The 21,650-nt window shown below is 39.4% G+C and overlaps 1 long non-coding RNA gene across 1 annotated transcript, besides 3 other annotated features; it reads left to right on the top strand.

Moving 5' to 3' along the window:
- On the top strand, positions 42–21,101 carry ZBED5-AS1 (ZBED5 antisense RNA 1). The gene is made up of 3 exons (NR_034137.1): positions 42–191; positions 7,086–7,152; positions 20,206–21,101. It is a non-coding gene; the product is annotated as a ZBED5 antisense RNA 1 (long non-coding RNA).
- Positions 77–714: an enhancer, noted in NCBI's record as "H3K27ac hESC enhancer chr11:10879799-10880436 (GRCh37/hg19 assembly coordinates)". NCBI's record gives its function as "activates a minimal SCP1, AML or CMV promoter by ChIP-STARR-seq in primed H9 embryonic stem cells {active_cell/tissue: H9 hESC(primed)}" and the evidence as "EXISTENCE:reporter gene assay evidence [ECO:0000049][PMID:30033119]".
- Positions 224–313: an enhancer, noted in NCBI's record as "active region_4452". NCBI's record gives its function as "activates an Ori minimal core promoter by ATAC-STARR-seq in GM12878 lymphoblastoid cells {active_cell/tissue: GM12878}" and the evidence as "EXISTENCE:reporter gene assay evidence [ECO:0000049][PMID:35858748]".
- Positions 715–1,350: an enhancer, noted in NCBI's record as "H3K27ac hESC enhancer chr11:10880437-10881072 (GRCh37/hg19 assembly coordinates)". NCBI's record gives its function as "activates a minimal SCP1, AML or CMV promoter by ChIP-STARR-seq in primed H9 embryonic stem cells {active_cell/tissue: H9 hESC(primed)}" and the evidence as "EXISTENCE:reporter gene assay evidence [ECO:0000049][PMID:30033119]".
- Positions 21,102–21,650: the final 549 nt, after the last annotated feature.

A 21,650-nucleotide genomic window follows, 5' to 3' on the forward strand; every position in this document is an offset into this window, starting at 1 on the left:
CCAAAGGAAAGGACCAAGCTCGGTTGAGGCGCGGCCCAGCCGCAGCCGCAGTCACAGCCTCAGCCGCAGCGGCCGTGCTACCTAGGTGATAGCGGAGCGGCTGGGTAGGAAGCAATTGTTCTCAAACTTCACTAGCCCCGTCGGCGCGGACGCTTGTCGAGAATGCAGATTCCTGGGTACTGCCAGATACGGTTGGTGATCTTGTAGGGCTGGAGTGGAAGCCATGAATCTGCATTTTCATCATTTCTGGCCCTCTGCCCGGGCTGGGGTGATTCACGGGGATTCGTAGTGGCCCCAAAGGAGCACGCAGAACCTCGGCTGCTGTGCATTTATCACCTCTTTTGTTCCCGGAGGCCGCACCCCAGGTCCAGTTTACACAGCTGCCAACTCCTTTTCTTGGTTCCCACTGGAATCTAGGAAGAAAACTCGCCCTTTACTTCTCCGCCCCACACCCGACGACGGAGTGTCTAGAGGTCTGGTCGGCCTTGGCTGTGCGGAGGGCTAGGCCTGACGAGCGGGCGCTGATGCGGCGCAGACCCCGCCGGACCTCTTGGTCGGCCCGGGGTAGGCTGGGGAGCCGCGGGAACAGGACTGGATAGGGAAAGCGGCACCGCAGCGTCCACGGGCAAGCTGAAAGTCCGCTTGATGTCTTTGCATCACAGTGGCGCCCTCCCCGCAGGAACGCCCGGCCGCCTGCACCGAACGTTTGCCTGCAGGGAACGGCCAACCCGCCCTGAAATACTCTTTTTGTGGGCTGCAGCTTTCGGGTATTTTAAGCCATGGTTCTGTGCCCTTCCTTGTTTTCAAAAACACCACAGCCAAAGGCTGCGGGTTGTGTGCTTTCATTTTGTGTTAAGTTCTGTGGTGGAGACCTGGAGTCTGTTTTTCCAAATAGGCACCTTGAAATAGATACGCTTCTTAAGCGGGGAAAGTACGAGTAGGTCCTATTATTTGCAATGTTTTAGCCTTTCCAGACTCCGTACAAATGACTAAATGAAGATTGGATCGTATTTTCAGGCACTGCACCAATGATAGAAAATTCTCAACTTGGGGTCAAAAGCAAGGGCAGCTTTCGTTTTTCTTAAATATGCTTCTGATCAAATATCTAAAGTGTTGAAAGAAACCTAACCCTTAATAGCACAATTTACAGGAGTGCATAATTTCCTAGGACTGACATTTAGTTCCAAATGTTTTAAAGTCAATTACAACATCATCTCACCCTATAGTAAGCTGTCCATATATTCTCATTATTATTTTTAAATTATTTCTATTAAATCAGCTTCATTTGAACTTTAACCATAAATGCATAAATCGTTTTTGGGAAGGGGGTACAGTCGCGCTTGAAGAGCAAGGGATTTTGTCATTGCGGGAGTTGTCTGGCTTCAGAATAATATTGGAATAATATATTTTCGTGTTTCATATTTTAGAAAAACCTTTTACATATGTGCTCCCAAACCAATCTTTTTTTATTTTTTATTTTTTTTATTATTATACTTTAAGTTCTAGGGTGCACAACTTGCAGGTTTGTTACATATGTATACATGTGCCATGTTGGTGTGCTGCACTCGTTAACTCGTCATTTACATTAGGTATATCTCCTAGGGCTATCCCTCCCCCCTCCCCCCACCCCACGACAGGCCCTGGTGTGTGATGTTCCCCACCCTGTGTCCAGGTGTTCTCATTGTTCTATTCCCACCTATGAGTGAGAACATGTGTTTGATTTTCCTGTCCTTGCCATGGGCTCCCAAACCAATCTTTACACATCTTGTTTACATCTTCATGAAGAGGGAAAACCCAAAATATTAAACTGTTAGGCAGAATAGTGTTTAAATAAGTACATCTAAAGTTTAGGAATTAGGTCCTGATATGATTTGACTCTGTGTCCCTACCCAAATCTTATATCGAATTTTAATCCCCACGTATGGAAGGATTAAAGTGATTGGATTATGAGGACGTTTTCTCCCATGCTGTTCTGATAGTTAAGTGAATTCTCACACGATCTGATGGTTTTATAAATGGTAGTTTTTCCTGTGGTCTCACATGCTCTCTCTCACCTGCCGTCATGTAAGACCTGCCCTGTAAGACGTGCCTGCTTCCCCTTCCTCCATGATTGGAAAATTTTGTGAGGCCGCCCAGGCATGTGCAGCTGAGTCAATTAAACCTCTTTCCTTTATAAATTACCCAGTCTCGGTATTTCTTTATAGCAGTGTGAGAATGGATTAATATAGGGCCCCAAATCTGAAGTGTCTCATAATTAAAGTTCATGAAACTTAACTTTTTTTGTAATCGTTTTGTCAAATTATTACAGAATGTTGATGGGACAGATAAGAAAAAATACAGACAATGTAGAACTCAGACCAGTAATACATAGCTAGCATTTATTGAATACATAATGTAGGCCGGGGAGCTATTGTATACGCTTTTTTTGTTTTTGTTTTTGTTTTTTTGAGTCAGGGTCTCACTCTGTTGCCTAGGCTGGAGTGCAGTGGCACGATCTTAGCTCTGTGCAACCTCAACCTCCCGGGCTCAAATGATCTTTCCACCTCAGCCTCCTGAGTAGCTGGGACTACAGGTGCATGCCACCGTGTCTGGCTAATTTTTGTATTTTTTTATAGCGATGGGGTTTTGCCATGTTAGCTAGGCTGATCTCAAACTCCTGGCCTCAAACGAGTCACCCGCATTGGCCTCCCAAAGTGCTGGGATTACGGGTATGAGCCACCAGGCCTGGCCTATACACTTGTAAATTTATTAAGTCTTTTACTGTTCACAACAATTTTATCAGTTGATTAACCTTATTTTACAGATAAGGAAATTAAGCACAAAGAGGTAAATAACTTGCCCCAGTTCCAAGAACTAATTAGTGGCAGAACCTGGATTAGGTGTGATGCTGGTTGTGGGAACTACAAACTGTGTTTATGTGCATACTTGATTTATATTAGGCAGAAAACTATTGTGAATAATATTACAGTAATGTATTAGGTAAGGAGGCTGAGCCTTACCATTAAAAAGGACCCTGATCAGCCACCAAGAAGTCCTTGGCCAGGCATGGTGGCCAATGCCTGTAATCCTAGCACTTTGGGAGGACAGGGCAGGAGGATTGCCTGAGCCCAGGAGTTTGACACCAGGGCACCATAGCAAGACCCCATCTCTATAAAAATAATAAATGCATAAATAATACATAAAATAATAATAACAAGAAAAAGTCCTCCATTGTTCTAATCTCTAAGACCAACTTTTCTCTCCAATTCTTCTGCCATCACTCTGGGCTTACTATCAATTTCCTTAACCAATCTCTTAGCTACCAGACAATCTCTATCAAATTTATCCTACACACAGAAAAGCACTTTATCTAAAATACAGACATTAAAGTCTTTTTTTTTTTTTTTTGAGATGAGGTTTCACTGTTGCTCAGGCTGGAGTGCAGTGATGCCATCATGGCTCACTGCAGCCTCAACCTCCTGGGTTCAGGTGATCCTCCCACCTCAGCCTCCCGAGTGGCTAGGACTACAGGCACGCACCACCACCACCACACCAGGCTAATTTTTGTATTTTTTGTAGAGATGAGGTCTCGTCATGTTGCCCAGGGTAGTCTTGAACTCCTGGGCTCAAGTGATCCTCCTGCCTCAGCCTCCCAAAGTGTTAGGATTACAGGTATGAGCTACTGTACCCAGCCTAAAGTCATTTTTTTACTCAAAGTTATCCCCTTTTTGGCATGATCAACTCTTTAACTGGGCATTTAAGGTTTTCATTAAACTGGTTTTGCTTTTCTTTTTTACTTTTTACAGAGACAGGGTCTTGCTATGCTGCCCAGGCTGCTCTCAAACTCATGGGCTCAGGCAATCTGTCCGCCTCTGCCTCCCAAAGTGCTGGGGTGGCAGGCATGAGCCAGCCACCACACTGACCCAAAACTGTTTTTGCTTTTAAAATTTGTTTTCAATGTTACACAGTGACAGTGCTAGGTGGGAAGTAAGGCAACTATGGACAGGAATGTCTGGAGCTCCCTCTCCTTAGCTAGTGATCTTGTGATGTGTAGTTTACTTGTTCTGGCTTAAAGGCCCAAGTTTGAGGTATTCTTTTTGTTGTTTTGTTTTGATTTTAATTTTTATCCAAGCAATGCAAGCATAGAGTTTAAAAATTCAAGTAGAACTAAAAATATTATAGACAATAACAAAAAAACATTTCTTGGCTCCTTCTTCAGATGCAATCCCTTGTAACATTTTATGCCATTCAGGAGTTCCAGACCAGCCTGGGAAACATAGCAAGACCCTGTCTCAAACAACAACAAAAACAAATCCAGTAACTCTTAGGTTTGTGAAAATTGTCAGAATCAAGATAGAGTCACTAGTGTGGGGGAAAAAAACAAACAAACAAAAAAACCCAGACAAATAGAACCCAGGAAGGCCATTAAGAGGATTCTCATGCACAGATGCCTGCTAACAAAAACTGTCACAAAACACTGCAAAACCACAACCTTGCACAAACGCTGTCAAAATCTTAGACAAAAAATAGTTCTTCAAGGACATCTCCCCAGCAACTCCCTGTGCAGTCTTGGGCTGCTGTCACCCTTGTTACTGATCTTTGTAGCCAAAGATAATTATCTCAAAATAATTATTATAATCCTCCACATTTTTTCCTTTAAAAACCTTTGTCTTCCCTTACCTCCCTGAATGTGCACATAGTTTACTATGGCACACATATTCCCACTGGAATGCTGTATTCCCAAATAAACATCGTTTTCTTCTAGAGAGCCTCCCTCTGTTATTTAGATTGAAAGATTAATACTACTGTTTTTAGTTTCCACTTCCCTGAAGCAGGAAAAAATTTATATTCCTCTACTTGTGTAAGAATTTGCCTATGCAAATGTTAATTGGCTCTATAGTTACTGATTATTCCAGTGATATTTCAGTGCCCCTTTCAGATAAATGATTTGGGCAACGCCCCAACTGCTTACCTTTTAATCCAGATCTGGTTGTGGTTAAAAAAAAGAGCAGGAATATACAAAAATTAACTGGGCATGATGGGGTGCAAGCCTATAATCCCAGCTGCTCCGGAAGCTGAAGCAGGAGAATTGCTTGAACCCAGGAAGTGGAGGTTGCAATGAGCTGAGATCACACTGTTGCACTCCAGCCTGGGTGACAGAGCGAGACTGTCTCAAAAAAAAAAAAAAAAGGCCAGGCGCAGTGGTTCATGCCTGTAATCCCAGCACTATGGGAGGCCGAGGCAGGCAGATCACCTGAGGTCAGGAGTTTGACACCAGCCTGGCCAACATAGTGAAACCCCGTCTCTACTAAAAATACAAAAATTAGCTGGGTGTGGTGGTGCACGCCTGTAGTCCCAGCTACTCAGGAGGCTGAGACAGGTGAATCACTTGAACCCAGGAGGCAGAGGTTGCAGTGAGCTGAGATTGAACCATTGCACTCCAGCCTGGGCAACAGAGTGAGACTCCGTCTCAAAAAAAAGAAAAAGTCAGGATTGGTGTGTACAGCAGGTACAGCAGAAGGTGAAGGAGGGCAGTTCACTCAGAAAAGAACTGTGGCAGATATTGCAACATCTCTAGTGTAATTCTCTTTGATTTATAAAAGGCTAATTACTTTGTTACTTTAAATCATGAAATCATGACACACCTCACAAATAAATGTCATATACTCCTTTTCTAAACCCTGTAGTTGAAACTATTGGTCTAGAAAATAAACTAATTATTGGGCCCCAAATTGAGAGGCTTGAATATTACAAATCAGACACTTTCTCATATTTTCGGGGAGAAGGACAGGTTTACTTGTATTGAGAACCCAAGTTTCAAATAATAATAATTTAATTAAAATAATTTTTTTGAGATGGGGTCTCACTCTGTCGCCCAGGCTGAAGTGCAGTGGCACAATCTTGGCTCACTGCCACCTCCGCCTCCTGGGCTCCAGTGATTCTCCCACCTCAGCCTCCCTGGTAGCTGGGACTACAGGTGCCCACCCCCACTCCCAGCTTTTTTTTTGTATTTTTGGTAAAGATGGGGTTTCACCGTGTTGCCCAGGCTGGGCTCAAACTCCTGAGCTCAAGTGATCTGCTCACCTTGGCCTCCCAAAGTACTGGGATTACAGGTGTGAGCCACTGCACCTGGTCCATTAATAATCATTTGTCTGGAACATACAGAGTACCTTCACAATCTCTCTCTCATTTGAAACTTGAGACAACTTATTTAATTAAGCAGGGAGGTATTCTTATCCCTATTTACAAGGAATGAGGAATCTCAGGTTTAGAGAAGTTGATGGGTTTATGCAAAACTATATGCAACATACAGTTTTTGGAATAGACAGTGCTTGGATCAGTTTTCCTGATTCAGATCAGTGTCTTTTATACTTCCTTTTCTTAAGAAAGTTTTCAGGATTGGGATAATGCAGTTACAAAGTACTTCTGCTAAGTTATTGATCTTGGGCTAAATAATATAGTCAGAACTGTCATTTGGAAAAATAGTATGTTCTTCCAGAGTTGCCCTCTTACAGAAGGTGAAAATTAATCTTACTCCCTTAACTTTCTCGGGAAGGTTGATGTTAAACTTTTAAAAGCCATCCCTTTAAAAAGAATGCTAGATATAGACAATTTTTAAAGCCAAAGTGAAGGTTTACAGGTCATTTAAACACTCAATTACTTGGGGAGAAACTGAAATGCCAGCAGATGGGGTTATTTATAGCACTGTGCTGAGAGCCAGTATATATATTTATTTGTACGAGAGTGGAATCCTGGCTCTGGATCATTTCCTGACTTGTTTGAGACTCTAAGCAAGTCATTTATTATGTCTGTATTTTGGAATTATAGCCTTGCCTCAAAGGTGTGCTCTGTGATTAAATGAACTTCTATTTGTAAATCTTGTTTAAATTTCTCTGATGAAAGGCATATCAGTGTTGATAGCTGTGGAGGATAAGAACGCTGACAATAATAATGAGTACGATAATATCAGTGCCTTGGATTTATGCAGTATCATTACTTCGGGGCTTTGCGTGCCTCCTATGTAGTATGTAGTCTATAACAAAAAACTGTAATTACAAACATTTCACAAGAAATCATTCTTATTGTGATATTTTTATTACTTGCAGAATTGAGCATACCACAAAAAAGTTCTCATTTTGTGTCCTCCCATCCCATTCTCCTCACTAACCAAAGGTAACCACAGTTAATTGTTTTTTATATATCCAGATGTATATGTATATATATTAGTGTATATGACTGATATATTTTATAAATTATTCCACAATTTATAAAATATTTATAATATTTTGGCCTTATCAATATGCCTTGAAGAAATTTTCATGTCAGCATGTAAATCTTTCTTTTTAATAGGTGCATAGTTTCCCAGTTGATTTATTTAATCATTCCCTTATGAAAAGATTCTTGAGTTGTTTCTAATTTTTCAACATTAGAAACAATGCTACAATGAATGTCCTGTATATACATCATCTTTGCACATCTATGTGTGTACTTCTGTAGGTTAGATTTCTAACATGGCTTAAACTTTCAGGCTGAAAGGATATGTATTAAATTGTACCCCAGAAAGCCTTACCAATGTACACTTCCATAAATAGTACACAACAGTATCTTTCTCCTATGGTCAACGTTGCTTTGTATAGTATCAGTCTTTCTAAATTTTGCCATGAAGATTAAAAACTCATTTTAATTTTCTTAACTACTAATGAGGTTGAGCATCTTTTTGTAAGTTTATCAACCATTTACATTTATTCTTCTGTGAACTGCCTGTTCAGAGGCTTTCCCATTTTCCCTGTGGGGTGAGTTTCTGTTTCTGTTTCTCTTTCATTCTTTCTTTCTCTCCCTTTTCTCTCTTTCTTTCTTTCCTTCTTTTTTGTTTCTTTCCTTCTCTCTTTTTCTCTTTCCTTTCCTTTCCTTTCCTTTTCCTTTCCTTTCCTTTCCTTTTCCTTTGCTTTCCTTTCCTTTCCTTTCCTTTCCTTTCCTTTCCTTTCCTTTCCTTTCCTTTCCTTCTCCTTTCTTTCCCTCCCCACTTCCTTCCTTCCTTCCTTCCTTCCTTCCTTCCTTCCTTCCTTCCTTCCTTCCTTCCTTCTTTCTTTCTTGACAGGGTCTCACTCTGTCACCCAGGCTGGAGTGCAGTGGTGCAGTCATGACTAACTACAACCTCAATCTCCTGGGCTCCAGTGATCCTCTTGCCTCAGCCTCCCAAGTAGCTGGGATTACAGGCGCATGCCACCATGTCTGGCTGATTTTTATTTATTTATTACTTCCATTTTTCTGTAGAAACGAGGTCTCACTAAGTTGCCCAGGCTGGTCTGTGTCTTATTGATTGTAAAATCTCTTAAAATATTTTGATTATGAATACTGGGTTAGGTATGTTTCCCACCTTGCTGTTACATTGTTATCTTTTTTCTTGCTGAAGAAAAAGTTTTTAATATTTATGAAATCAAGTCTGGTGTGGTGGTGCACACCCATAGTCTCAGCTGCTTGGGAGGCTGAGGGGGGAGGGTTGCTTGAGCCCAGGAAGTTGAGACTGCTGTGAGCCATGATGGCACCACTGCACTCCAGCTTGGGTGACAGAGCAAGACCCTGTCTCAAAAAAAATAAATAAAATTATGAAATCAGTCTTTTCATTTGTCAGGCTTTTAAATAATTTTTAAAAAGTCAGGCTTTTAAAGAATTAACGTTAGTTAATTCTCAGAAGTTACAATGTTAGTTTTATTCAGAGTCTTACTGAGCACTGCAACCCGGGAGAGTCTTTCAGAGAGTCTCTGTTAGACTGCTTCAAAGCAGCGTTTCAGCCCTCGCTTCTATACAGGCGGTGGAGGTTCTGCATGTGCTCGGAAGTTACCTAAAGGTGCTCAGAGGTTACATTAGAGCAAAATCTCATCAAAGTCCAGGAGCGAGAGTACGTCTGGTTATAGATTACAGAGGTATATTCATTAATCCTGTCAGATGTTATCTTATGGATAGGAAAAGGCAACGGCTCATTGAACTTATCTTTTCCAAAAATGCAGTGATTCAGACATGGGAAACTGTGCTCTATCCTGCTTATGGTCTTCAAGCATTTTTACAGAGAGCTGAGCTCAGTCACTGAGTCAGGGGTTTGGGAGGTTTATGCTGACAAGCAGAATGAGCAAACGTGGTTCTTCACAGCAAGGGCAGACGGTGTGGCTAGCCAGAGGCAGATGTTTGCTACTTTGCCTCACACATTTATGACTTTTGGGATTTGTGTCTTCTTAAGAAGGACACTCTTCAACTACCCCTACCCTAAGATTATAAAATAGTGTCCTTATATTTCTGCTATTTTTAAAAGCATCAGGTGCTCTTTAATCCTTGTGAGGTGCATTCTGAATAGCTGTGAGAAAGGAACCTATTTTATTATTTTACCAAATGTTTAGCCAGTTGCTTCAAATGTGCTAATTAGTTCATTTTAATCCCAGTAATTTGAAATGCCATCTTTCAAAAATATCAAACATTTGTAATTCTTGATTCTGTTTCTAGACAGAGCCATTTGCCTAATTCAGTATTAATATTGCATTATTTAATTTTTACTATTTTCTGCAACTGCATAATCTATCTTGATATCTGATATACAATGTTTTCCCTCATTCTTTTTTTCCCCCCAGAATTGCAGGGCAAAATCTTGTGCATTTTTTCTTCAGTAGTAACATTAGAATGAGCTTTTTAGACTCTATAAATAATAACACTGGGATTTTGGTTAGGAATTATAGATTAAATGTAGGAGAGTTGGCATTTTTATAGTAGTGAGTCTTTTCAGTCTGGATCATCATGTGTTTTTCCATTTATTTAGGCCACCATTTAGGTCTGCTTTTGTCTTTTTTTTTTTTTTAGGATTTTCAGTATATTTGTGTAATTTTCTTTATCTGAGTTTATTACAAAGTTAATTCTCTGTTATTTTATAGTTATGGTTTTTATCATGAATACAGTTGTAAAATTCTATTTTCTAATACTTAATTATTGATGAGAGAAGTTATTTATTATTAATATTTTTTCTGTATCCTACCTGATAATTTAATTTTTCTTTTATTATGGAAGATTTCAAATATATACAAAGTAAACAGAATAGTTATGAACTGCCACGTACCCACCCCAAAGTTTCAACAATGATCAACATTCTGCCATTCTTGTTTTGACTCCCTTCCTACTTTCCACTCCCAAAATTGCTCTTACTTTTTACAGTTCTTTTTTACCTCTTAGATTAAAAAAATTTAAAGTTTATTTTGAGATAACTGTGGATTCACATGCAGTTGGGAGAAATAATACAGAGAGATCTCATGTACCCTTTACTCACTTTTCCCCAGTAGTAAAGTCTTACACAACTCCAGTACAATATCACAACAAGGATGTTGACATTGATACAATCAAGATAAAGAGAATTTCCATCACCTCAAGAATCTCTGGTGTTGTCCATTTATAGTTACACTCATTTCTCTGCCACTCCCACTTAACCCCTGGCAACCACTAATCTGTTCTCTGTTTCTGTAGTTTTGCCATTTCAAGAATGTTATATAGGCCAGGTACAGTGGCTCATGCCTGTATTCCCAGTACATTGGGAGGCCGAGGCAGGCGGATTGCGTGAGCTCAGGAGTTTGAGACCAGCCTGGGCAACATGGTGAAACCCCCATCTCTACTAAAATATAAAAAATTAGCCAGCGCCTGTAGTCCCAGCTACTCAGGAGGCTGAGGGTGGAGAATTGCTTGAACCCTGGAGGCAGAGGTTGCAGTGAGCTGAGATCATGCCATTGCATTGCAACCTGGGCGACAGAGAGTGTTATATAAATGGAATCATACATTATTAGATAACTTTATGAGATTGAAGTTTTTTCACTTAGCATAATTCTTTGGAGATTCACCCAGATAGTATAACAATAGTTCATTCCTTTTTATTGCTGATCAGTATTCCATGGTATGGGTATACCACAATTTGTTTAACCCGTTACATGTTGAAGGACATCTTGGTTATTTCCAATTTTTGGCTATTATGAATAAAGGTGCTATAAACTTTTGGGTACAGGTTTTGTGTGAACATGAGTTTTCATTTTCCAGGATATAGGCCTAAGAGTGCAATTATATGCATGGTATAATGGATGGTAATTGCATGTCTAACTTTTTAAAAAATTGAAAAACTATTTTCCAGTTTGGCTGTACCATTTTACATTTCCATTAGCTATGTATGAATGATCAGGTGTTTCCACATTCTTGCCAATATTTGGCATTGTTACGATTTATGTTTTAGCCATCCTAATAGGTGCATAGTGATATCTCACTGTAGTATTAATTTGCGTTTTTCCCATGGCTAATATGTTTGAACATCTCTTAATGTGTTATTTGCCATCTGTATATCTTAATTGATAAAATGTCTCTTCATGTCTTTTTGTTTATTTTCTGATTGGATTTTTTTTTTTTTTTACTGTTGTGTTTTAGGATTTTTTTTTGTTTTGGTGGGGGCACAGGATCGTGCTCTGCCACCCAGGCCGGTGTACAGTGGTGCAATAATAGCTTACTGGAACCTTAAACTCCTGGGATCAAATGATCCTGTGGCTTCGGCCTCCCAAGTAGCTAGGATGCCTGGCTAATTTTGTATTTTTTTAGAGACAGAGTCTCACTATGTTGCCCAGGCTGGTCTCGAACTTCTGGTCTCAAGCAGTCCTCCCTTTTTGGCCTCCTAAAGTGCCGGGATTATAGGCGTGAGAATTCTTTACATATTCTAGATGCTAGTCCTTTGTTGAAGTTTAATATTTTCTATTTGTCTATTTTGGTTTTTGTTGCCTGTGTTTTTGAAGTTTTAGCCATAAATCTTTGCCTGGACTAATGTTCCTGAAGCATTTCCTCTATATTATCTTCTAGTATTTTTTATAATTTTGGGTCTTAAGTTTATGTTTTTAATTCATTTTGAATTGATTTTTGTATGTATGATGCCTCCAGCTTTGTTCTTCTTGCTTAGGATTGCTTTGTCTATTCAGGATCTCTTTTGGTTCCATACGCATTTTAGGATTTTTTTTTTTTTTTTTTTTTGAGACAGAGTCTCGCTCTGTCACCAGGCTGGAGTGCAGTGGTGCAATCTTGGCTCGCTGCAATCTCTGCCTCCTAGGTTCAAGTGATTTTCCTGCCTCAGCCTCCTGAGTAGCTGGGACTACAGGCACCTGCCATCACGCCCGGCTAATTTTTGTATTTTTAGTAGAAATGGGGTTTTACCATGTTGCCCAGGATGGTCTCTATCTCTTGACCTTGTGATCCACCTGCCTCAGCCTCTCAAAGTGCTGGGATTATAGGCATGAGCCACCGCGCCCAGCCCAGGATTTTTTTTTTCTATTTCTGTAAAGAATGTAATTGGTATTTTTGTAGGGCTTGCATTGAATCTGTAAATTGCTTTGAGTAGTATGGCCATTTTAACAATATTAATCCTTCCAATTCATAAGGATGAGATGTCTTTCCATTTTTTTGTGTCCTTTTCAATTTCTTTCATTGGTGATTTATAGATTCCCTTGTAGAGGTCTTTCACTTCCTTGGCTAAATTTATGCCTAGGCATTTTGTTTGTAGCTATTGTAAATGGGATTATTTTATTGATTTGTTTTTCAGCTAGTTTGTTATTGGTATATAAAAATGCTACTGATGTTTGTATGTTGATTTTGTATTCTGCAACTTTACTGATTTCATTTATTGGTCCTAAAAGTTTTTTGGTGGCATCTTTAGGTTTTTCTATATATAAGATCATGTTGTCTACAAAGAAGGACAATTTGACTTCCTCTTTTACTTTTTTTTTTTTTTTTCCTGAGAGAGAGTTTCACTCTTGTTGCCCAGCCTGGAGTGCAATGGCGCGATCTCTGCTCACTGCAACCTCTGCCTCCCAGGTTCAAGTGATTCTACTGCCTCAGCCTCCTGAGTAGCTGGGATTACAGGCACATGCCACCACACCTGGCTAATTTTTGTATTTTTAGTAGAGACGGGGTTTTGCCATGTTGGCCAGGCTGGTCTCGAACTCCTGACTTCGGCTGATCTGCCCACCTTGGCCTCCCAAAGTGTTGGGATTATAGGTGTGAGCCATGGTCCTGGCCACACTTCCTCTTTTTCAATTTGGATGCCTTTTATTTCTCTCTTTTGCATGATTGCTTGGGTAGGACTTCCGGTACTATGTTGAATAAGTGTGGTGAAAGTGAGAATTTTTGTCTTCTAGTTCCTAGAGGAAAGGCTTTCAGCTTTTCTCATTGAGTAGATTAGCTGTGGGTTTGTCATATATGGCCTTTAGTATGTTTTGGTATGTTCCTCCTGTGCCTAATTTGTTGAGAGTTTTTATTGTGAGGGGATCAAATACTTATCTACATCTGTTGAGATAATCATATAGTTTTTTTGATGTAATGCAACTGTTAATGTAATATATTAATTCAACTGGTACCATAACAATCAATGAGTGGTAGGAAACTCCCTATTCCATTTTATTTGTTCACTTTCATCAACATTTCTTTTTTTAATTGGGCATCCAATTTAGTAATGCCTTTTGCCAGATAATGGAGATAACATTATTCTTTATCTGAGGTGGGAAGATTGCTTGAGTCCACGAGTTTGAGACCAGCCTGGATGTCTTAGCAAAACCTCATCTCTACAAAAAATACAAAAATTAGCCAGGCATGGTGGTGTGTGCCTGTAGTCCCAGCTACCCAGGTGGCTGAGGCGGGAGGATTGCTTGAGCCTGGGAGGCAGAGGTTGCAGTGAGCCGAGAACAGGCTGCTGCACTCCAGCCTGGGCAACAGAGTGAGATTGTCTAAAAACAAACAAACAAACAAACAAACAAAAAACAAAAGTTATTATTGATATGTGAGAACTTATTTCTGTCATTTTGTTGTTTTCTGCTTGTCTGTATATCCTTGGTCCCTTTCTTCCTCTTTTACTGTTTACCATTGAGGTTTAGTGGATTTCTGTAGCAGTAATGTTTGACTTCTTTCTCTTTCTTATTTATATATCTACTGTACCAGTTTTACATTTGCATGGGTTTGCTTGTTGGCAAATATTGTCCTTTTGCTTTCAGATATAGGACTGACTTAAGCCTGTCTTGTAGGACCAGTCTAGTGGTGATGAATTCCCTCAGTTTTTGCTTGTCTGGCATTTTATTTCTCTTCATTTTCGAAGGATATCTTTGCTAGGTTTAGTATTTTTGGCTGGTAGTGTTTTTCTCTCAGCACTTTAAACATACCATTGTATTCTCTTCTGGCCTGTAAAGTTTCTGCTGAGAAATCTGCTGTTTGTCTGATGGGGATTCCCGTATACATGACTTGATGCTTTTATCTTGCTCTTTTTAGAATTCTCTTTGTCTTTGACTTTTGATAGTTTGACTATAATATGTCTTGAAGAAGACCTTTTTGGGTTGAATCTATTTGAGGATCTCTGAGCTGTATCTGGGATGTCTAAATCTCTTGCCAGACTTGGGAAGTTGTCAGCTATTATTTTGTTAAATAGATTTCCTATGCCTTTGCTCGTTTCTCTTCCTTCTGAAACTCCCAGAATTTGAACATTTGGTCACTTTGTGGTGTTCTATATGTTATGTAGGCTTTCTTCATTTTTTTTTTCCGAGTTGTCTTCAAGTTCAGAAATTCCCTCCCCTTCCCCTTCCCCTTACCCCTCCCCTTCCTCTTTCTTTCGTTCTTTCTTTCTTTCTCTCTCTTTCTCTCTTTCCTTCCTTCCTTCCTTTCTTTTTTTCTGAGATGGAGTCTTACTTTATCACCCAGGCTAGAGTGCAGTGGTGCAATCTCAGCTCACTGCAACCCCCGCCTCCTGGGTTCAAGTGATTCTCCTGCCTCAGCCTCCTGAGTAGCTGGGACTACAGGTGTGTGCCACCACGCCCAGCTAATTTTTGTATTTTTAGTAGAGACATGGTTTCACCATGTTGGCCCAGCTGGTCTCGAATTCCTTACCTCAAGTGATCTGCTCACCTCGGTCTCCCAAAGTGTTAGGACTACAGGCATGAGCCAATGTGCCCAGCCAGAAATTATTTCTTACGCCTAATCTAGTCTATTGTTGAAGTTGTCTATAGTATTTTTTATTTTATTCATCAAATTCTTCAGTTCCAGGATTTCTGTTTGTTTTTTCTTTTTTCTTTTTTTTTGAGACGGAGTCTCGCTCTGTCGCCCAGGCTGGAGTGCAGTGGCGCGATCTCGGCTCACTGCAAGCTCCGTCTCCCGGGTTCATGCCATTCTCCTGCCTCAGCCTCCTGAGTAGCTGGGACTACAGGCGCCCGCCACCACACCTGGCTAATTTTTTTGTATTTTTTAGTAGAGACGGGGTTTCACCATGTTAGCCAGGGTGGTCTTGATCTCCTGACCTCGTGATCCGTCCGCCTCGGCCTGCCAAAGTGCTGGGATTACTTTGGCGTGAGCCACCGCACCCGGCCACCTGTTTGTTTTTTATTAAATGATATCTATTGCATTGTTGAATTTTTCATTCAGATCATAAATTGTTTCTTTGATTTCTATTTTTTACCTGTGTTCTTTTGTAACTCACTGAGTTTCTCTGTTCTTTTCAAGCATTTCATAAATTTCCTTTTCTTTCAGATCTGTTATCAGAGAATTATTGTGTTCCTTTGGAGGTGTCATGTTTTGTGTTTGTGTGTGTGGTTTGAGACAGGGTCTATCTTTATCACCCAGGCTAGAGTGCATAGTTCGCTGCAGCCTCAAAGTCTTGGGCTCAAGGGATCCATCTGCCTCAGTCCCCCAAGTAGCTAGGACTATGGGCATACACTACCAGGCCTGGCTACGTTTTTATTTTTCATAGTGATAGGGTCTTGCTATGTTGCCCAGGCTGGTCTCCAACTCCTGGCCGTAAGCAATTCCCCTTGTTGCCTTATTAAGCACTTACTTATCTGTCAGGCACTTTATTTTATTTTATTATTAATTTTTGAGATGAAGTCTCGCTCCGTCGCCTAGTTTGGAGTATAGTGGCATGATCTTGGCTCACTGTAACCCTGCCTTCTGGGTTCAAGCAATTCTCATGCCTCAGTCTCCCGAGTAGCTGGGATTACAGGCATGCATCACCATGCTCGGCTAATTTTTTGTGTTTTTAGTAGAGACAGTGTTTCACCATGTTGATCTTGAACTCCTGACCTCAGGTGATCTGCCCCCCTCAGACTCCCAAAGTGCTGGGATTACAGGTGTGAGCCACCACACCCAGCCTCCAGTGCCTTTAAGTAATTTTAATTTTTTTTCCAGATTTTATTATTGTTATCTAAATGAGGGTTAGTATAACCAAGGTACTCTGCCAGTATGGGCAGATGAAAGTCCCTAGTTACTGAATTTTGTGTGTTGATCTTTTTTTAAAAGTTTTAATTTTAAAACATTTAAATAGTTTTTGGAGTACAGGACAAGTTCTTTAGTGGTGATTTCTGGGATTTGGTGCATCTGCCACCTGAGCAGTGTACATTGTAACAAATATGTAGTCTTTTATCTCCCTCCCACCCTTCCCCCACCCCAAGTCTCAAAATTCTGTTAATTCATTCTTATGCCTTTGTATCCTCCTAGCTTAGCTCCTCCCCACTTATAAGTGAGAACATGTGATATTTAGTTTTCCATTCCTGAGTTACCTACCTTAGAATAATGGCCTCCAGCTTCATCTGAGTTGCTACAAAAGACATTATTTCATTTTTTTTTTATGGTTGAGTAGTATTCCATGGTGTATATATACACCATATTTCTTTATCCACTGGTTGGTTGATGGGTACTTAGGTTGGTTCCACATTTTTGCAGTTGCGAGTTGTGCTGCTATAAATGTGTGTACATGTGTCTTTTTCATATAATGACTTGTTTTCCTTTGGGTAGATACCCAGTAGTGGGATTGCTGGATTGAATGGTAGTTCTATTTTTAGTTCTTTAAGGAATCTCCATACTGTTTTCCTTAATGGTTGTACGAGTTTACATTACCACCAGCAGTGTAAAAGTGTTCCCTTTTGACCATACCCACACCAACATCTATTGATTTTTAACTTTTAAATTATGCCCATTCTTGCAGGATTAAAGTGGTATCTCATTGTGGTTTTAATTTGTGTTTTCCTGATAATTAGTGATGTTGAACATTTTCTCATATGTTTATTGCCTCCTTTTTTTTTTTTTTTGAGACAGGGTTTTGCTCTGTTACTCAAGCTGGAGTGCAGTGGTGTGATCTCAGCTCAGTGCAACCTCTGCTTTCTGGGCTCAAGTGATCCTCTAGCCTCAGCCTCCTGAGTAGTTGGGACTACACGTATGAGCCACCATACCTGGCTAATTTTTGTACAGATAGGTTTTCACCTTGTTGCCCAGGCTGGTCTTGAACTCCTGAGCTCAAAGTGACTCACCTACCTCAGCCTCCAAAAGTGCTGGGATTACAGGCTACCACGCCCAGCCTGTATATCCTCTTTTGAGAATTTTCTATTCGTGTTCCTTGCCCATTTTTCAATAGGCTTATTTTTTTTTCTTTGTTTGAGTTCCTTATAGATTCTGGTTATTAGTCCTTTGTTGGATGCATAGTTTGCAAATATTTTCTCCCACTCTGTGAGTTGTCTGCTTACTATGTTGATTATTTCTTTTGCTATGCAGAAGCTCTTTGTTTAATTAGGTCCCATTTATTTATTCTTGTTTTGTTGCATTTGCTTTTGGGTTCTTAGTCATGAATTCCTTGCCTAAGCCAATGTCTAGAAGGGTTTTTCTGATGTTATCCTCTAGAATTTTTATTCAGATCTTAGATTTAAGTCTTTGATCCATCTTGAATTGATTTTTGTGTAAGCTGAGAGATGAGGATCCAGTTTCATTCTCTATAGGTGGCTTGCCAGTTTCCCCAGCTCCATTTATTGAATAGAGTATCCTTTCCCCAGTTTGTGTTTTTGTATGCTTTGTCAAAGATCAGTTGGCTGTAAGCATTTGGTCTTATTTTTGGATTCTCTGTTCTGTTCCATTGGTCTACATGCCTATTTTTATACCAGTAACATGCTGTTTTGGTAACTGTAGTCTCATAGTATAATTTGAAGTCAGGCAGTGTGATGCCTCCAGATTTGTTCTTTTTGCTTAGTATTGCTTTGCCTGTATGGGCTCTTTTTTGGTGCCATATGAATTTAAGAATTGTTTTTTCTAGTTTTGTGAAGAATGATGATGGCATTTTGGTGGGAATTGCATTGAATCTGTAAATTGCCTTAGGCAGTATGGTCATTTTCACAATATTGATTCTACTCATTCATGAGTATGGCATGTGTTTCCATTTGTTTGTGTTATCTATGACTTCCTTCAGCAATGTTTTATAGTTTTCCTTGTACAGATCTTTCACCTCCTTGGTTAAGTATATTCCTGAGTATTGTATTGTATTTTGCAGCTGTTGTAACAGGGATTGAGTTCTTGATTTGATTCTCAGCTTGGTTGTTGGTGTATAGCAGTGCTACTGATTTGTGTACATTGATTTTGTATCCAAAGAGTGTACTGAATTCGTTTATCAGATCTAGGAGATTTTTGGATGAGTCTTTAGGGTTTTCTAGTTATATGATCATACTGTCAGTGAACAGCAACAGTTTGATTTCCTGTATTTCTATTTGGATGCCCTTTATTTCTTTCTCTTGTCTGATTTCTTTAGCCAGGCCTTCCAGTAGTATGTTGAATAGAAGCAGTGAAAATGGCATCTTTGTCTTGTTCCAGTTCTCGGGGGAATGCTTTCAACTTTTCCCCATTCAGTATTATGTTCAGTGTGAGTTTGTCGTCTATGGCTTTTATTGCTTTGAGTTATGTCCCTTCTATGTTGAGAGTTTTTATCATAAAGTGATACTGGATTTTCTAAAATGCTTTTTCTGCTTTTTTGTTTTTAATTCTGTTTCTGTAGTATATCACATTTACTGACTTGTATACATTAAATCATTCCTGCATCTCTGGTATGAAACCCACTTGATCATGATGTATTATCTTTTGATATGTGATTGGATTTAGTTAGCTAGTTTTTTGTTTTTGTTTTTTAGGATTTTTGCATCTATGTCTATCAGGGATACTGGTCTGTAGTTTTCTTTTGTTAAGTCGTCTCCTGGTTTTGGTATTTGGATGATACTGGCTTCACAGAATGACTTAGGGAGGATTCCCTTTTTCTCCACTTTTGGAATAGTTTCAGTAGGATTGGTACCAATTCTTCTTTGAATGTCTGATAGAATTCAATTGTGAATCCATCTGGTCCTGGACTTATTTTTGTTGCAATTTTTAAAAATTACTGATTCATTGTTACTGCTTGTTATTGGTCTGTTCCAGGTTTCTATTTCTTCCTGATTGAATCTAGGAGGGTTGTATATTTCCACAAATTTGTGTGTTGATCTTGTATTTGCCCATTCTTTACTAAATATCTTATTAGTTCTAAAATTTCAGCTGTAAATAATATTTCCCTTTCTCATGTTGGTACCTCTTAATTACTTTTCTTATCAAATCTCATTGTCTACAACTTATAGTCTAAACTTGGAGATGACACAGCAGGTATCCTTGTCTTGTTCCTGACTTTAGTAAGAATACTTCCAGTGTTTCATCATGAAAGCATGATATTTTAGGTAGGCTTCTAATAATTCTTCGTTAAGGAGTTTCTCTTTTTAAATTTAGAAATAAGTATTTAATCTTTACAATGCTGTTTTTAGCATTTACCAAGATGAACACATGATTTTCTCCTTCAATCTGAGTTTATGTAATTAATTACATTATACATTTCCCAATGTTGAGGCATCCTGACGTTCTTAGAATAAATCCTACTGGGTCATGATGAATTGATTTTTAAAAATATTATAATGTTAGATTTAATTAGGTAATACATATTTATAATTTTAAAATTCATATTTGTAATTGAGACTTGCCAGAGATTTCTTCTTTTGTTTTCATGGTCTATTGTCCTCCAGCTTTGACATCAGGTTTATGCTAATCTTTAACAGACACTTAGCCTGCCAACTTGATGTAATCCACAGTAATGTCTCCCTGTAAGATTTCTGAAGAGATTGGTGTGAGGTAGATATTATTATCATCATTTTTTTTCAGATGTGGTAACTGAGGCACATTGAGAATTATAGTGTCTAACGTTTATGATATAAGTCAGTGACTAGCAAACTACTTCTTATTTATGAAAATACTACAATTATTCTTTTAATTTCTGGGGTTGAGAGGAGGGCAAAGAATTATTACTCCTGTGATCCTCTCCAGCTACTCAAACTAATATTGTTGTTTATTTCTGTTTCTCTCTGTTTTTACTAGGCTAGGAATTATCTGTGAATGTAGGACCACTGGATTTGCAGTCTTCATCTGACACTGTGGAGAGTTTCTAGGAATGAAACAGATATATGGCCTTGGGTCCCCTTTTTTTTTCTTTTTTTTTTTTTTAATAGAGACGAGCATCTCACTATGTTGCCTAGGGTAGTCTTGAACTCCTGGCCTCAAGCAATCCCCACCCGACTCCGCCTCTCGAAGTGATGGGATTACAGGCATAAACCACCACGCCTGGCCAGAAGGTGCTTTAACACCAAATCTGAAAATTGTTCAGAAGAGAAACATTGAGCATGAACACCATCTGTGCGAGTCATTTACTTATTGCCCCTCACCTCTAAATCTACCTTCTGTACTCTTCTTCCCTGTAATGATGGGGCTAGTTGTCCTCAAACTGTTTCTCAGACTTCTTTTTAAGCTTGCTTCCTGTTCAGTTCTGCCAATAGGGGTCACTAGAGAGAGACTGGGAGGCAGAAGGAGAGAATATGCTTCCTGTTTTTTCTGTTCTTGTTAATGTTGCTTACAGGACCAGCAATGCTTCTTCACCTAGAGACACTTCTCCCAGCAGTGGCAGTGCCACTTCAGCTTCTTTCAGCACTACTGGAATCAGCCTCAGTGATTCCCCCTGTACCCGCTCAGAGATTATCCACAGCAGCCAGATGGTTCTACCTTCCACAAAGATTGTGGTTGCAATTCTGGGCTTCTAAGTTCTGGTTACTTCATATTTTTCCTTTTGTTCCTCCAGCCCTAGAGGTGGTAGCTGCTTTCTGAAGTTATTATTTCTAGATGACTTTTGGTTTTTCAGCCTTTGTATTTTGCTTTTCAGCCCTCTAATGCCTGTATAACCAATTTCCCTGTAATAAATAAATTTCCTCCATTGAAATACCTAGTATGGCTTTTTTTTTGTTTGTTTTTCTGACTGGACTGACATAAAGAGGACTGCTCATTATATGCCAGCTCAGAACCACTTAATTATGAAAATAGTATATTCATTGTCTCCACTCCTCCAAAAATTCTGAGATTAATTTGTAGATGTCGCCGGCCTTGAATGAAATGCTTAGTTCCTTGCCAATGGAAAACAAGATTCTGGTAATCTATAACATAAGTAGGATCATGATTAATTAAAGTATCATCTATGGTTTCTTGGGAAAAAATACCTATTGAAGTAGTTGCCTTCAGGGATCAAGTGGCTGCTGCATTTTACCATTGTGGTAGTACAGATGACAACAAGGACTGTGAGTGGGATGACATCTATGCACTGGAAACCTTACAGGCAGAAAGTGACAAATTGAAGACTTTGAAGTCTAAGTTCAAGTCAAATTGAGACAGAGAACTTCTATAGCAACTTTGAAAAAAGTTTCTGATTTCTTATAGCTATAAGATCAACATTATTAAAAATATAACTAGGTGGGTTGCAGAATTAAAATGGAAATTAA

The sequence above is a fragment of the Homo sapiens genome, chromosome 11 (assembly GCF_000001405.40).
Source record: "Homo sapiens chromosome 11, GRCh38.p14 Primary Assembly".
NCBI lineage: Eukaryota > Metazoa > Chordata > Mammalia > Primates > Hominidae > Homo > Homo sapiens.